The following is a 17,568-nucleotide window of genomic DNA, read 5'->3' as shown; positions in this document are numbered from 1 at the left end:
AAAGTCTCTGCCCCTTAGCTGATGTGGCACCAAGTCATGGACATCAACAAACAAAGGATGATGGATTTCCAGCACTACACCAAATCTGCTACAGTTTTGGAAAGAGGGCTATCTTGGAGGCATGTGTGTATGTTATGGGGAGGGAATTTTCCGTTTCCTTCATTATTTTCCTGAAAACAGAAATTTTGGGCCTTTGGTGACACTCACTCATCACATTCCTTTTCCTCATTTGTATCACTGTTGTTTTATAAAATCCCAAGAAGCAGACACACGATTTCTAAATAAACAGTCCTTTAAGAAGAGATTTAAGGATAGTATAAATTTTCTTTTTTCAGTACAGACATACAACTTGTCTCTTAGAAAGGCACATAGCCATTGGCTTAAGGAAACTGAATAAGAACTTTCAGTTAAATGTGGAGGATTGAACACATGCATTTATCTTTGCAATCTCCCAAACCTCCCAAAATGAATAAAAAGTATGTACTCATTTAAAAAAATGAAACAGAAGAGAAGATGACAACACAGGAAAGACGTTAACAACATTTTGGAAACTGAAAGCAGATGGAAGCTGAGTTAACCAATTTGAAAAATCTGAAACTAAAGTCTGCAGTGAATGAAGCCAGTAAGAGAAAAAAAATGATGTTCTAGAATCAAGAAAGGCTCAGCAATTGGAGACACCAGGCACCTTTAAAAATGGGGCATGAAAAGAAGTAAAAATCAAGGGATTTATTAAACCTTGGTGTAATGAGCATTTAGACTCCCAGATCATCTCTCTCAATCCTCCTAGCCTGGAACCTGTCCCTTGTCCATCCTGGTAGATAATGGGAGCTTCACATTGGAGAGGTTTGTACAGCTAGGGTACTGATGAGATGCTGAATATCTGTAACTTGGATGGTGAGATACCTCATTCCTATTCTTCTGAAATGCTTTCAGAATACTGACAGCCAGGCCTTTTATGCCCAGGAGGAGGTACCCACACACGCTGACAGTTGGGTGCTCCCCAACCAAATGGCCCAGTCCCTACCCCACCATCTGATTGTGACTTTAAAGTTACATGGATGTATTACCTCACTAAAATTAAGAAAACATTAAGTAAAAAAGAATAACTCACAGCCTGCTAAACCATCTACTTCTAGCAAGAAGGAAATAAAATGCTTATAATGAGGCAAGAGTGGGGGATCTAAGACCATGTAGGAGATATTTCCAAGGGTATAACATAATAGATGGGAATCCCAGGTCCACAGGTATGCATGTAAAGAAAGCCTTCACAGAGATTGACTGATTAGAGCTAGACTTGGGGAAATGGAGTTAACTCTACAGACACCTTCCTTGAAATTTTTTCCAAATAAGTGTAAAGAGAAAATCTGTGCTTATCAGAGCCTTCCTGTTTTGTTCTGTTTTTCAAATTACTTTTTCCATTATTTTTCCAGGTTACCATGGCACTTCTAAAAGCCGTATGTTTCTTGCTTATATTTGTTTTTTCATTCATTCATTCCAAAATATTTTTTTATGCTCTTCTATTGCCTTCAGTACTATTCTAGGCAGAGTCCCTGAGTCATGCAGCTTACACACAAGAGGAAGAGACTGACAGAAATAACACTAGTTTCTTTCTTTCCTTCCTTTTATAGGAGTTGACTTCCCCCTCTTCTGGGGCCAAAAGCAGGGAAGTAAGATATTTACATTTTAACATTTGTTAGATTGGGAAATTGGACTTAAAACCAAAATGAGGAACCCAAACTGGAACTTCTCTATGGAAGGAATCAGACCTTGAGGTGACAGTGGAAAGCCAAGTGTTAGAGGAAACTGCGAAACTGGAATATCAAGATGAACAAATGGGATATACTGCACTAAGCTGCAAGCAGACCACTCTGGGAAAAAGCACATGTACGTGATAGATATAGACACAACTATTCTCTGAGGTCTTTTTGTTCAGTTTCTGGGAGATTTTCTCACCTTAATGATTCAACTATTCCAATGAGTTATACACACACACACACACACACACATCCGTATACATACATCTATAAACATAAACATGTGTGTGTATATATATATATGTAATTGTTCTCAGTAGTTCTTTTTTGTTGTGTTCTTTTTTTCTTCTCTTCTTACCTCTCCCTCTTTCTTCTTTTATTAATAGTACATTGTTGTATTCACATATATTATAGCTTGTCTAACCTTTAAAATATATAGCAAGGATAGTTTATTTAAGGTTTTATTCTCTCTGTAAAGACTGTTCCCTCCAAGTCACTTTTACTCCTTTCAAACCCTGTCTTTCATGTTCAAGGGTTTTTTTTTTTTTTTGGATGTTGGTGATCCCTCAAAAGTGGGGCAATAAACAGCAGAGAGGAATCTCCTGAGGGTGTGTGTAGGGTTTCTGGACTGATCTCAATGAGTCTTTTCATTGAGGGAATTCCTGATGGAGAATCCCTCTTTTCCATACATTATCTCTACCCTTACCTATGCCTTTTATTTTCCTTAACAAAAAAGTAAGCTTTTCTTATTTGCTCTAGAGAGTTAGCCTCCTCTATCCTGTTGGGCAGGTAAGATGCACAGACTGGCTGAATGAAGTAGGAAAGGAATCAGGGATGTAACTGTTGCTCAGAATTCTCTTACTACTTCTTTAACGGTCTTTCAAACAATTCTCTTGTTTTTAATTTTACTTTCATATCTATTCCCAGAGAACCTGATGTTGCCAATTCCAGAGACTTTGTAGATTCTGCAAAGCATATTTGTTTTTTTCTTGGCTTCTTCCACTGCTGGTTTAGGATTGAGCTTTCTTTGAACCCCTTAGTCAGTTACCACTCATCCAGCTTTAAAAATTTTGCTGCTGTTGTCTCTTTTTTGTTTGTCCTTATGATTTTGTGCCCTTTAAAAAGTTCTTTTCTGATGTTTTAGTGTAGTTTTGGGAAAGAGTAAACTAAATAGAAATTTACCTGAAGGTCTCTCTTGTTTTCCTAATTATTTTAAAAATTACACCAGTCATTCAAAAATACATGACAATATATGACATGACATGAATTTAAGATTCAAGCAATTTATCATTATATGAAAGAAAATGTGACTCTTTCCCCTCCCCTTCAATTCCATATTTTACCTCTTCTGAGATGAACAATTTTAACTATTTGATAATTATTTTTCCACTACTTTTCCTGTGCATTTGCGTGCACTTGCTTATATATGTATACATTTCAAAACATAATTGGGATCATGCCAAATGTATGGCTTTATGAGTTGTTTGTTTCTGTTTGCTCGTTTTTTAAATTGGTATTCTTTCCATATAAACACATGCAGATACTTCCCAGCCTTTGAACAGCTGCCTAGTATTCTAGAATATTGGTACTATGCTTTATTTGTCCTTTTCTCTATTTAGGAACATTCAATTTGTTTTCATGTTTCCTCTATTACAGGGGTCCCCAACTCCGGGACCATGGTCTGTGGCCTTTTAGGAACAGGGCTGCATAGCAGGAGGTGAGCAGAGGGCAATTGAATGAAGCTTCATCTGTATATACAGCCACTCCCCATTGCTTGCATTATCACCTGAGCTCCACCTCCTGTCATATCAGTGCAGCATTAGACTTTGATAGGAGGTTCAGCCCTATTGTGAACTGCACATGTGAGGGATCCAGGTTGCATGCTCCTTATGAGAATCTAATGCCTGGTGACCTGTCACCATCTCCCATCACCCCCAGATGGGACTGTCAAGTTGCAGGAAAACAAGCTCAGGGCTCCCACTGATTCTATGTTATGGTGAGCTGTATAATTATTTCATTATATGTTACAATGTACTAATAATGGAAATAAAGTGCACGATAAATGTATTACACTTGAATCATCCTGAAACCATCTCCCACCCCTAGTCCATGAAAAAACATGTCTTCTATTAAACGAGTCCCTGGTGCCAAAAAGGTTGGCGACCCTGCTCTATTATAACAATGCTGTGGTGAACATATTTGAACATTCTTTTGCACATGTACAAGTATTTCTTAAAGAAAATATTGGCTGGGTGTAGTGGTTTGTGTGTGTAATCCCTGTGCTTTGGGAAGCCAAGGCATGAAGATTGCTTGAGGCCAGAAATTTGAGATCAGCCTGGACAACATAGCAAGGCCCTATCTACACACACACACACACACACACACACACACACACACACACACACACACACAGAGCTGGGTGTGGTGGCGAGAGCCTGTAATCATACCTGGCTAGTCAGAAGGTTAAGGAAGAAGGATCCCTTGAGCCCAGGAGTTCTAGGCTGCTGTGAGCAATGATCTCACCACTGCACTGCAAACTGGGCAACAGAGCAGGGCCTTGTCTCTGAAAGAAAAAAGAAAATGCTTAGTAGTTCCTAGCCTAGGTATGTGTTTTCTAAATTTAACTCAGTTGCACATACTGAATGATTTTTCCATTAAATTGGCTAATTTTAATTTTATTTTATAGAAACTTTTATTTGTTCAATATGTGTATAAAGAGGAAATAAGTATCACCATAAATAGATGGTAACTGTAAAAGTAAGTGCAAATTTAATAAAAACAATATTATTGAATTCAAAGTGGATGTGATTGCCTGCTCTCTTTGTTGAATAGTAACAAGTATTGGAGAGATGTTAATATCGTATTAGTACCAAATCAAAGACTTTTTCCTTTAAGTATTTTTTTAAAAGAAAGTTAAAATATAATATATTTTTCACTGTGCAATTCAACATTATACAACTTCATGTTCACACACCACCTGCATTCATGTGCCATCAGTGCAATAGGTGTACCATTGACAGTGTTATCTTCCTTTGTTGCTCCACCATGTTACCCCTCTTCTCAAAGTTTCTTTAGATCTTCATTGCCTAGAGAATAAAGTAAATATCCTAAGAGTTAAGGTTCATCAGCTGATCTCAGCCAGCCTCAATATGGGCTGTTTTAGAGTCTGTAATGCTTTCTGAGTTTTATAAAATGACTATGTATACAGAATTGCTTTGTTGTGACATTTCAGCTTTTACATCTTTTCTTGCATTCTATTTATTGTATCTTCTCTAATACACCATTACTTCTTGTGAGTAAGACCTGGGTGTTCCATGTTCCATCTTCCCCTTGTTCCATCTTCCCTTTTTTGATGTCCTTCATTACCTAGCACAGTGCCCTCTACTGGGTAGATACTTCATCATCAGAAGGTAAATTATTGACTTCTAAGCTTTGTTACTACAAATTCAGCTTTCGTTACACAAAAGATTAGTGGATAAGATTCAACTGTGAAGCCATCTAAATTCTCATGATAGCACAATTAGAAGGTTCTTTGTAATATTACAACACGAGAAAATACAATAGAAGGAGGACATTCTAGTGGCAGTGGACACTTTTATACTGAGTTTGGGATTATGTTTATCATGTTTGTTTTCTTAATTTGAAAGCCTAAGCTCCCATATAACTTTTTATGAACTAGCTGATTTTCATGTTTCTGAGTCACTTTGGAACACATTTTATCTTAATAAGAATAACTCATGGAGCAAAAAAGACAGCAGGCTCCTTATTATCATGCTCTGCATATAGGAATTTTTGTCTTTTGGCTGCCAAACCTGTATTCCACACTGTCCAGCTTTAGAAAATGGATTGTTTTTAATGGGTGAGTTTGAGTGACAAAGGCAGAGAGCAGGCCAGTGGCCTGTCCCCTCAGTTGATAGGATTAGATCTGAGTGAATAAAGACAAGTGATGGGCTGCAGACTTTAGGGGGAAATTTGCAGTGCACATTGGCACTTCTGAGTGGCACTAACGTTCTCTGTTTGCCTTACAAACCCTTTAAAATGCCATTTGCATTAATGATGGTATAATTGACATTGCTTCTCCAGAAGCTCAGAGGATTGTGGGGAGGCGGAATAAAAAAAAATTCATCTCCTCTGAAGATTCTTCTGTAGCTACAAAATGTGAAGAGACAAGGACTCCTGTCAGTGTGTGATGTCATATTAATAAAAAATCAAGCACAAAACCTATCCATCATCACAGTTTTCCCGGTAGCCTTTTATCTCATTGTACATTATCTTTCTAATTGACACATATCAGTATTATTCTGAATGGTTGATATAATTTTTTTACACTAAATACCCAGAATTCTTCATGATCCATTTGTTCACATTGATTTCTCCTTAAGAAGTGAAACTATTGTAGTTCCAGCAATAGTTTAATGCCCCAAATACCCATGAATGTGTGTGACAGAGGAGACGTGGGCAGGGGACTCAGGATTCAGTCTCTGTTATAACTGAATGGGGTTGAAATCTTTATGAAAGAAATGACCTTTTAGAGGTCAAAGATCAACTGCAGCATGTTGGAATCATAGTTTAGAAAGACATATACACAGATGTCAGTAAGGTTTTAAATGAAAATATCAGATTTTTAACAAGGTCAGTTATAATGTATTTATTCCCTAGATTTGTGCTGGATCAGTGTATATTAGCAACATTTTAGTAAGTGTTTTGTGAACGATAGGTTAGTAGAGGACATAGGTAATTTCTAACTAGAGTTTTATAACACCTATATTAGTAATGTGTGTTTTCTTATAGTATTTTACCAAAGTTAAATCAGGCAAAAGACCAGAGAAAACCAGAGTATAATCACAGTTTAGATTCCTAAGGGAAGAGTGTCATGTTTTGTTGTTGTTGTTGTTGTTTTGTTTTGTTTTTGACTAATGCCAGTAAAATTCTCCCCACTCATATTATGCCAAATGGAAAATATCTATCTTCTAATGATACTTTGTGTTGGAGAACATATTTCTGAGGCATTGCATTATTCTGAAGGGCCTTCTAAGTCATTCAGGAAAGATCAAATTATGTGTGGTGATGTGAAATGTTGAGGTTGTTCACACAAAAAATTATAATTTTTTGATTTTTTAATATTTTGATTTATTTTATTTTACAGACAAGATCTCACTCTGTAGGCCAGGCTGGAGTGCAGTGGTGCCATCATAGCTCACTGCAGCCTCCAACTCCTGAGCTCAAGCAATCTTACCATCTCAGCCTCTCAGAGTGCTGGGATTACAGGTGTGAGCTATTTTAAACTACATGTAGTGTGTATGTGTCTTAGGGCATGCTTAATTGCAAGGAAAACAGATCTATTCAAATGTACTTCAGGAATTTGTGGTGAAAAATTGAGGAGAATCACAGAGAAGTCAGTTTTAGAGAGTATGGCCAGACCTTGAAGTGAGTAGATGGATAGAGACTCAACTCAAACTAGCTAAAGCAAAAGAGAGATTGTTTCCCAAACCTGAAGACTCATGCAAGCAGAGTCTTCTGCTCCTCAGGCTGATGAACTTACCAAGTCAGGTGAAGGTGAATGATTTAAGAAGATCCTGCTTGGTTTTTTTTTTTTTAATTTAAATTATTATTATTTTGTAAATTTCATGAGATGGAAAGTAGAAGTAGGCAACATAAGAAGAAAGAACATGAAACTGGGTCAGGCAGAAGCAGAGGTCTCCATCTGGTGTAGCAACCTCCACACTATGGACATTTTGAACTAGAGGATTCTTCCTTTTCTTTTTTTTTTTTTTGAGACAGAGTCTTGCTCTGGTGCCCAGGCTGGAGCTGGAGTACAGTGGCATGATCTCAGCTCACTGCAACCCCTGCCTCCTGGGTTCAAGTGATTCTCCTGCCTCAGCTTCCCAAGTAGCCGGGATTACAGGCAACTGCCACCACGGCCGGCTAATTTTTGTATTTTTAGTGGAGTTGGGATTTCACCATGTTGGCCAGGCTGGTCTCGAACTTTTGACCTGGAGTGTTGCACTTGCGGCGGGCTCCCAAAGTGCTGGGATTACAGACAGGAGCCACCATGTCTGGACAACTAGATAATCCCTTGTTGTGGCAGACTGTCCTCTGCGTTATAGGGTGCTTAGCAGCATCCTTGGTCTCTTATCTACCCTGAAACACAAGAGTAAAACATTTCTTGAGACGTTTCCAAATGCCCCTGGCAGTCAAAATTGCCTCTAGTTGAAAACTTCAATACGTGAAAGTAGGTATATGGATTTCAGACTATCACAAAACTCCTCAATCATTTATAACCTCTCTTGTTGTGGAAAGAATCCAATAAGGGGTGAAGAGAAGTGTGGAAGTTTTTTTTTTGTCAAGTTCTTCCTAGTGAGAGTAGAAGTTTTGATTAAAGTTTCTATTTTATGGGACAAGGTGAGAATGCATTAGGGGTAGAGGGGTGGTGTAAGAAGAAGAGGTTTCCAGGATACCTTTAGTGTGTTGTATCTTTTCACAGTATGTTGAAGTGTAGTTTATCTATTTCCATGGAAATATGCATTAAGCTAGGCTCATCTCTCCAAATTGATCTGTTGAGCCATTTAGATCTAAAGCCCTATGCTATTTAAAGTATCAGACAAACATGGCAAACAAACTGGCAGTTTATACAACAGTTTTTAGTTTTTCAGGAAACAAAGAAATTTTATTTCTGACTTGATTCTTACCTTACTTGTATAAGTCTATGAAGAGGTGCATGGTAAATACAGGATTTGAGAGTCACCAGCTCTACTCACTATTCCATCCTTGTTTTGTTTTATTTGTGTTTCAGCCAGGTAGGTGTTTCCCTTTAGTTGGATGGAAAAACAAGCCAAACAAAACAAAATCTAAAATAACTCTCTGCCCAACTTTCACAATATCGTCAATCCTATTCTTTAATGTCTCCATTGATTCTTTTAATCTTTAAATTTCATTTTTAAATTTTACTTTTTATTTTGTTTTATTTTATTTTATGTTTTGAGATGGAGTTTTGCTCTTGTTGCTCAGGCTGGAGTGCAGTGGCACAATTTCAGCTCACTGCAACCTCCGCCTCCCAGGTTCAAGTGGTTCTGCTGCTTCAGCCTCCCAAGCATCTGGGATTACAGGCATGCACCACCATGCCTGGCTAATTTTTGTATTTTCGGTAGAGACAGGATTTTGCCATGTTGGCCAGGTTGGTCTCGAACTCCCGACCTCAGGTGATCCACCTACCTCAGCCTCCCAAAGTGCTGGGATTACAGGCGTGAGCCCTTGTGCACGGCCCATTTTTTAAATTTTAATAAATTGTATCTCCACATCATTATGCTGTTTTTCCTTTCTTAGTTTACATTTGATTTTCTGCTCTTATTTCATAGAAGTTAGGTATTCTGGCATCCTTTTGAGGGGTGTTATAAAATTAGTAATGATTTTTCCTCTATTTCTACTAGTAAATGACTGTCAGAGTAATGCTCTTTTAATTCTTCAGTATGATATTCTCTTCTTAATGTTTTGCATATATCATTCTTTGAGGAAATCTCTGCCTTTCTTTATCTCTATCCATCCTCAAATTAGGAGATCTTTATTCAGATAATGTTTACCAGCAGGGTTGTGTATTTTTCTTATGGCGCTTCTCACTGTTTGCTAAATTCTTGTATCAAATCAACCACAAAAAAGTAGCTCATTTCCCAATGCCTTACAGATTTCAGTACTGAGGTTCTTAAATCCTCCTGCCTGGAAACTTCACATTCGAGCGGATTTCAAATGTAAAAATTATAACCCTTGCATGTATTTCTTTCAGGCTCTTTCTTTTTTAGCTTTTCTAAGAATACATTCTTTTCTAGGAGAGATGCACCTCTGCAGCCCCTCATCCTGTGTCACCCAATTATATATTTTTGAAAGTTGTCATTCCCAAATACCAAGTACTGTCTCTGGTTATCTTAAGCCAGAAAGGATTTAATACTTTGGAAGAAGTTAGGACATTGTACGAGTATTGGGATGGTAGAGGGGGCATTACCCCTGCAGTTGGGAATGAAATGTAAAGGTCTTTTACCTTTGTGTCACTTAATCTAACTTTATTAATATATGGAGTGGACGCATCCAGTGAGCTGGAATTAGGTCATGTGCCTGGGTTGGAAAGTGGGACAATAGGACTCCTTTCTCTGAAAAACAGGGCAGAAGGGTGTTATCTCACACCAGAATACTCAAGCTGTGGGTCCAGTTGTGTCCTCCAAAAAGAAATGTTGAAGTCCTAACCTCAAATACCTGGAAAGATGACCTTATTTAAAAATGGGGTCAGATATAATCATGTTAAGATGAGATCATTAGGGTAGGTCCTAATTCAATGCCTGATGTCTTTATGAGAAGGATGAGATTTGGACACTGACACACAGGGGGAGAAGACCAAAACATGACAGAGGTAGAGACTGGAGTGCTACAGCTGCAAGCCAAGGAACAGAACATGAAGAATTGCTGGCAACCATCAAAAGCTGAGAAGAGCCAAGGAAGGATCTTCCCCTAAAGCCCTCTGAAGGACCATGGCCCTGCTGACACCTTGACTTCAGACTTCTAGCCTCCAATACTTTGAGAAAATAAATTTCTGTTGTTCTAAGCCATTTGGTTTGTTTTCATGTATTATTGCAGCCCTAAGAAATGAATATGATACACAATTGGGGATTCCTTTGAAATTGCAAAGGAGGTGGGTAATGATGGACAACCGTAGAAATCCCAAGGTCCAGTTGGGAGAGTGTATAAGGAGACATTATTCACCGTACATCCCAAAGTGGTACTCTCGAACTAGATGACTGCTCACTGAGTTTTCTTATTGGTACGCATCCTGGATGTCTCAGGCATGAGACTAGGGTGAAAGAGGAATAAAATGTCTTCCTACCTTCTCTCTGGGTTGTTCCGTTTGATGAACCCATGCATGGGTAAGGAATTTTTTTTTTCTTTATCCAGTTTCATAAGCCATAGAGTTGTGAGAAATTCCTCCCAGATTTTGGCAATAGTGTATCTGTTCAACTTTATTTTAAGCTCTTTTTCAGTTGTTATTATGTGTGAATATTCATGAGACTTTTTGTTAGAAGTTAGGAGGAACTGCACCAAAGATACCTCTTTAAATTCCCCTATTTTTTTTTCTATCTTTTAAATTGTAGGTATAAGTGAAGAAGGTTTAGGGGATAAGGGCAAAAGGGGCACCAAGTTAGACATCAGGTCATATTGGGATTTACTCTAAAAATTTGTCAGCTTTCTTCTCCCTTTCCCCTATAATATGGGACAATTTTCCTATTTCTAGAGACTTCTAGATTATCTAGGGCTGTCTTTACATAGGTACTGCAGTCTTAATTAACAAGTTATAGAACTGAACATTTTCCCTTTTGTAATATCTTGGTTTGTTAGTCCTTGAATTATGTAATATGTAAATAGCATGAAGCCACTTTAAAGAACTTTAAAAGTAAAATTATGCACTGAAGTACTAAGCCAACAGAATTAAGAGTAAATGAATGTGGCTGCTGTTGAATAATAATTCAAAGGATTTAATGGAGGTAAGCTTCTAAACAAGTGTAAGAGAATGAAGACATAATCTTGGACTTTGAAATACTTTTGAGAGCATCTTGAGCAATAATTTGTTAGCTTGAAATTTATTTCAAATGTCTATCCCAGGAGTGTAATTGAAGGAAAAATGTTTAGTCTAATTTAGACCTTTATGCTCTACTTTAAACTTTGAACAAGTTAAAAAAGAATCCTGTTAGGGCCATAACAAAAGGGTTTTCTTTAAAAAAAAAAAATCAGAAGTCTTTCTTTATTTTACTTATGTTGGAGATACGTTTTTTGATTAAAATGCAGTAAAAGCTATACTAGAGGAAATTTAAAGGCATCTGTTCTCAAAGATAAGGTATTTACAAATGAAGGCTATCCAAGATAATTTAAAAAGCAGTGAGACTTGATGAGGGGAAATCAGTGTTTTATTTTTGTAATGTTACTGCCGTCAATCAACTCTGCAGAGAAAAATGAAGAAGAAAGAAACAACAAAAGGACAAAGTCATTTATCTTTAAATGTTCACAAGGTGCAGGTGCTGTCTCTGCATTGGTTTGCAAATGAAAAGATTTTTCTTCTTTTTACTTATTTTCATAGACCTCCCTAAACAAGGGGAAAGTATAATTTAGAAGATTCAGAGTCAATGAAAATTGGTGTGTGTAGGAGCTTGTAAAATTAATTTTAGTTGCTAGGCCTTTAATACCAGGGTGTGTCCAATGCACTGTGCCCTTTTAAATAATCCCTTTATGTTGCTCAGGGCAGATATATTTTGAAAGTGGCACCTCTATTAACCTTAGCTGTATGCCTTTTGGAAAAGAAGAAAAAAAATCACTGGAATTATATTTTGGATGCTACTCATGCTGAACAATTGTCACAGAACATTAGTTTGAAATCTAAATGAAGTCTTGACTATTCTTTTCAGGTAGGAGAGAAACAAGGCAGGGAAGAAAAACAAAGACGCTTCTCACTCTGAATTTCTATTATGATATTGTGATGTTATATAGGAGCATCTAGAGGAAACTCAATAATCAAAACAAGACACTTTAGAAGGGGGAAGAGAATTATCTATGCAAGTCGCAGCGCCAGACAGCTAGATGACAGTAACTAATGTTTCTTGAGTGCTTATCAGATGCCAGAAGAGCACTAAATAAATGCATTTTATGCTTCACCTCTGTTTCCTCCCAGTCTCTCACCCTTGTAGGACCCCCACCTAATATTATCATACCAGTTTTACAGATGAAAAAACTCTCAGCACTTTAGGAGGCCAAGGTGGGAGGATCGCTTGAAGTTAAGGGTTTGAGACCAGTCTCGGCAACATAGCAAGATCCTATCTCTAATAAGTAAATAAGCCAGGCATGGCAGCATATGCCTATAATCCCAACTAATTGGGGGGCTGAGGTGGGAGGATCACTCGAGCCTAGGAGTTGGAGTCTGCAGTGAGCAATGATGGTGCCACTGTACCCCAGCCTAGGCATCAGAGTGAGACCTTATCTCTTAAAAAAAAAGAAAAAATTGAGGCACAGGGAAGTTAAGAAACTTGGCTGGGGTTCTCACCACTAGTGAATGGTGGACCTAAGATTCAACTCTTCGGACTGCCTCGCTAGACCTTATTCTTAACACCTCTCTATGCTTCTTGTAACACCTCCTCCATCTCAGATCTGATTGAGAAGTGTAGAAGATGTAAAGTTCAGTGAATGAGTTGGCTGATTATTTATAAGTTTCCAGATGTGTGATGCTGTGTGGACTGTGGTGGGCGTGTATTGATTTTGTGTGTTCAGCATCTCCTCTCTCTTATTTTGGTATCCACATCCCAATTTTGCTTAGGGGAACTATCCTTCCCTCATCATGTTTGTCTTGGTGCTCTGCATTTCCTTGGCTGATGGGTAGATATGAGACAGAAGCCAGCCTGATCACATGCTCTGTTCCTGGAGTTTGAATCTTGAGGGGGATGATAAAGATCTAAAATAGTTGCAGGGTTTTTTTATCCTGATAGAAGTGTCTTGTGGAGACTGACGGTTTTTGCAATGAACCGTGATTACTGAAACTGCTCTTCTTGGGCCTTCTCCTAAGTCTGGGGTGTTGGCTTTTCTGTAGGCTGTCCCTTGCTCCTCCCATGCATTCCTTTCTGCCTTAAGAGAACCAGATTCTATTTATTTTCCTTGCAACCAAAGAACTTTAACAGAATCACTGACAACTGTTCCTTTTTCATGAGACTGACTTAGTGGTGTTGTGGGGAGCCTCCACCAGTTCAGCTTGTAACACCATGACTAGGGTTCACAGCTTGCGGGAAAGGTGTAACAGAGTTTTGGGCCTGTTGCTTTCTTTTTCTTCCATGCATGCATCTGCCACTTTGTGTCAAAAAAGTAAATTTTTTTTGGTAGAGATGAATTTTTGGTAGAAACGAATTCTGGTTTCACTCAGAAACTCATGGTGTCCAGTAGTGAGAAACAGGCAAAACACAAAAGAGTAGTGAGAAACAGGCAAAACACAATGAGCCTAACTCTGTTAGGCTCTTCTTAACACATTTATCTTTCAAATAAAAAAAATAGTCTTACTTGAGGCCAGACATGGTGGTTCACGCCTGTAATCCCAGCTCTTTGAGAGGCTGAGGTGGGTGGATCACCTTAGGTCAGGAGTTCGAGACCAGCCTGACCAACATAGTGAAACTCTGTCTCTACTAAAAATACAAAATTAGCCAGGTATGGTGGTGGACGCCTGTAATCCCAGCTACTTGGGAGACTGAACAGGAGAATTGCTTGAACCCAGGAGGTGGAGGTTGCAGTGAGCTGAGATAGCGCCATTGCACTCCAGCCTGGGCAACAAGAGCAGAACTCTACCTCAAAAAAAAAAAAAAGTCTTACTTGACAGACATATATACAGATATATATATATATATATGTAAGATATACATGATACTATATATAAGATATATATATATTTATATGAGATGACATATATACCAGTTTATATACAGATATATAAACTGGCTAAAATTATTATTTACATTTTTTTAATTTCAATAACTTTAGGACTAGCATGGCTTTTGGTTACATGGATGAATTGTATGGTGATGAAGTCTAGGATTTTAGTGTACTGGTCACCCACGTAGTGTACATTGTTTCCAAAATGTAGTTTTCCATCCCTCACTTTCCTCCCACCTTCCTCACAATTTTGAATTGTGCTGTGATAAACATAAGTGTGCAGGTGTCTTTTTTATATAATAACTTCTTTTCCTTTGGGTAAGTACCCAGTAGTGCAATTGCTGGATCGAATGGTAGATCTGCTTTTAGTTTTATAAGGAATCTCTATACTGTTTTCTGTAGAGGTTGTACTGACTTACATTCCCACCAGCAGTGTATAAGCATTCCCTTTCTACTATATCAGCATCAACATGTATTGTTATTCCACTTTTTTATAACGGTCATTCTGGTATCTTATTGTGGTTTTAATTTGCATTTCCCTGATGATTAGTGATGTTCAATTTTTTTTTTTTTTTTTTTTTTTGAGATGGAGTCTCACTCTGTTGTCCAGGCTGGAGTGCAGTGGCAGGATCTCGGCTCACTGCAACCTCTGCCTCCCGGGTTCAAGCGATTCTTGTGCCTCAGTCTCCCCAGTAGCTAGGATTATAGGTGTGTGCCATGTCCAGCTGATTTTTGTATTTTTAGTAGAGATGGGGTTTCACTTTGTTGGCCAGGCTGGTTTCAAACCCTGACCTCAAGCGATCCGCCCACCTCGGCCTCCCAAAGTGCTGGGATTACAGGTGTGAGCCACCGTGCCTGGTGAACTTTTTTACATATGTTTGTTGGCCATTTGTATGTCTTCTTTTGAGAAATGTCTACTCATGTCTTTTGGCCACTTTTTAATGGGATTATTTTATTTTTTTCTTGCTGATTTGTTTGAGTTCCTTGTAGAGTCTGGATATTAGTCCTTTGTCAGATGCAAGGTTTGCAAATATTTTCTAGAATGGTTAAAACTATTATCACATCTTTGGAGAGCACAAGTAGATCTATATCATCCCCTGCTTCCTTCTTTCTCCATACTTGCCTTTTAATAATAAGCAACATTTGGCCAGGAGTGGTGGCTTATGCTTGTAATCCCAGCACTTTGGGAGGCCAAGGCGGGGAAATCACTTAAAATCCGGAGTTTGAGTCCAGCCTGGACAACATGGTGAAACCCTTTCTCTACTAAAAATATAAAAATTAGCCAGGCCTGGTGGCAGGGGCCTGTAGTCCCAGCTACTCTGGAGGCTGAGGCAGAAGGATCACCTGAGCCTGGGAGGTGGAGGTTGCAGTGAGGTGAGATCATGCCACTGCACTCCAACCTGAGCAACAGAGCAATACCCTGTCTCAAAAAAGAAAAAAAATAAAATAAGCAACATTCATTGCCTCTGTTTCTTGAATTGGCTGGGTTTTTTCATGTATCTCATGTGATTTCCCTTGCTTAAAATGCCCTTCTCCAGCCGGGTGCGGTGGCTCATGCCTGTCATCCCAGCACTTTGGGAGGCCAAGGCAGGTGGATCATGAGGTCAGGAGATTGAGACCATCCTGGTTAACACGGTGAAACCCTGTCTTTACTAAAAATACAAAAAATTAGCCGGGCGTGGTGGCAGGTGCCTGTAGTCCCAGCTACTTGGGAGGCTGAGGCAGGAGAATGGCGTGAACCGGGGAGGTGGACCTTGCAGTGAGCCGAGATCGCACCACTGCACTCCATCTAGCCTGGGTGACAGAGCGAGACTCCATCTCAAAAAAAAAAAAAAAAAAAAAGCCCTTTTCCAATATGTGCACCCAGCAGACTCCTATTAAGCCTTCAGAACCTAACTCCAGCATCTTCTCTGTGACCGTAGCCTTACCCTATTGTGCCAAGCTTTGTAAATCGCTTTGTCCCCTTATGCTAATCTTTGTGAGCTTATCTTATTAGGACATGCATTACATGGTGTTTCAATTATTTAACTCTAAGTTTATTTCCACCATTTGGCTGTGAACTTCCGTAGTACAGTTCCTTGCATTTTTGCATCTGTAGCATATTTTGTGACATCAAAAATGCTTAATAAATATTCAGTATACCTTGAAAAAATTCCTGAAACTTGCCATTAAAAGAACTCTGTTACTGATGCACTATAAATTCAAAACTTTTTTGAAAATGCTAAAAGTCATCTCAGAAAGGATGTTTTACAACTCCTTTTTTCTTCCCTATTCATACATTTTTGGATTACTTTACTAAGTTTTTAAAGTTGCAGTGCAATCATGGGAAACCATGTCTGTTACCTACACAGTTCATGTCCTCCGGACTTGATGACTGTCAGTTTTCCTGTAGACCTTTCTGTATGTCCTACCTCTAAATCCCCAGAAATATCATTAGCTGTGTGTTTGACAAGGCAATGCCACAGCAAGTTAGAGCAGTGAGGGAGAAAAATAAATTCTCAGCACATCCTGTACAAAGCATTCAAAAAACAGACTATGAGGTTGCTGAAGGCTATGCATCTATTAAAAGTTGTTATTAACAATGGAAACATATTTTAAAGTTGTTGGAACTTCCATTTTTTTTTTTTTTTTACAAACAAGCTTTATTTCAGTTTTGGGGGACTATCGTCTCCTAAAGTCCTTCTTTTGGTTGAATTTGTCTTGATTTTAAGAGGCACAGAACTATCTCAAGTAGAAGAACTGAAGATAGTAATGAGAGAATGCTCCATCACAAAAGCTGTTGTATTTACATGCAGTTAGAGACCTACTGGTATGTATTACTCTTCGGAGCGATTTTCCCTTCTGTCCATTTCCGGTCTTCTACTACATATGCAAGTGTTTTCCAAAGGGTGTTTTGAGAAATATTGCTTTCTCTAAGTATTAATTAGTGTTGAAGGGTGGAGAAAAAAGCTTTTTCAAGTTAATTTCATTTGGAAAGCATGAGATTAAACAATGTGTAACCAGTTTTTCACCATTACATGTGTTAATTGCTGATGAAGCCTAAACCTACTTGACCATAGCACTGTCACAGATAATGTTCCATGGAGGGCACTTAGGCAAATGCTGCTCAGATAGTATTATATCAATCTTTCTGTTAAAAGAACAAGTCCACACTCATGGCTATTGCATATGTTGTAGCATTGCTAACCTTCATTCACTTGTGTTCAGCCTCCAGAGAGCCTTAGAATTAATTTGCTGTTTTCTGTTCTCCGTGAATAGGTCTTGCTCTGTCTCTTGCTTGATGACCTTTTTCTAAGTGCTTAGGATACTATGCCTTTATGTTTTTCCTTTCCTTTCCTTTTTTTGAAATAGCTGATACTAATACCAAAACATTTCCTTC

At 38.4% G+C, this 17,568-nt stretch overlaps 1 long non-coding RNA gene across 3 annotated transcripts in view, besides 1 other annotated feature; it reads left to right on the top strand.

Annotated features, from left to right (window-relative positions):
- The window catches only part of LOC105377700 (uncharacterized), a 348,217-nt gene that overhangs the window by 125,572 nt on the left and 205,077 nt on the right, over window positions 1–17,568 (top strand). The gene's annotated exons all lie outside the window — the stretch shown is intronic.
- Window positions 7,741–7,941: a silencer, noted in NCBI's record as "peak5562 fragment used in MPRA reporter construct". NCBI's record gives its function as "represses an SCP1 promoter by STARR-seq MPRAs in K562 erythroleukemia cells {active_cell/tissue: K562}" and the evidence as "EXISTENCE:reporter gene assay evidence [ECO:0000049][PMID:32103011]".

Source organism: Homo sapiens, chromosome 5, assembly GCF_000001405.40.
Source record: "Homo sapiens chromosome 5, GRCh38.p14 Primary Assembly".
Classification (NCBI taxonomy): domain Eukaryota; kingdom Metazoa; phylum Chordata; class Mammalia; order Primates; family Hominidae; genus Homo; species Homo sapiens.
Note: the sequence above shows the minus strand (reverse complement) of the source record. Positions and strands in the feature narration are given on the sequence as shown.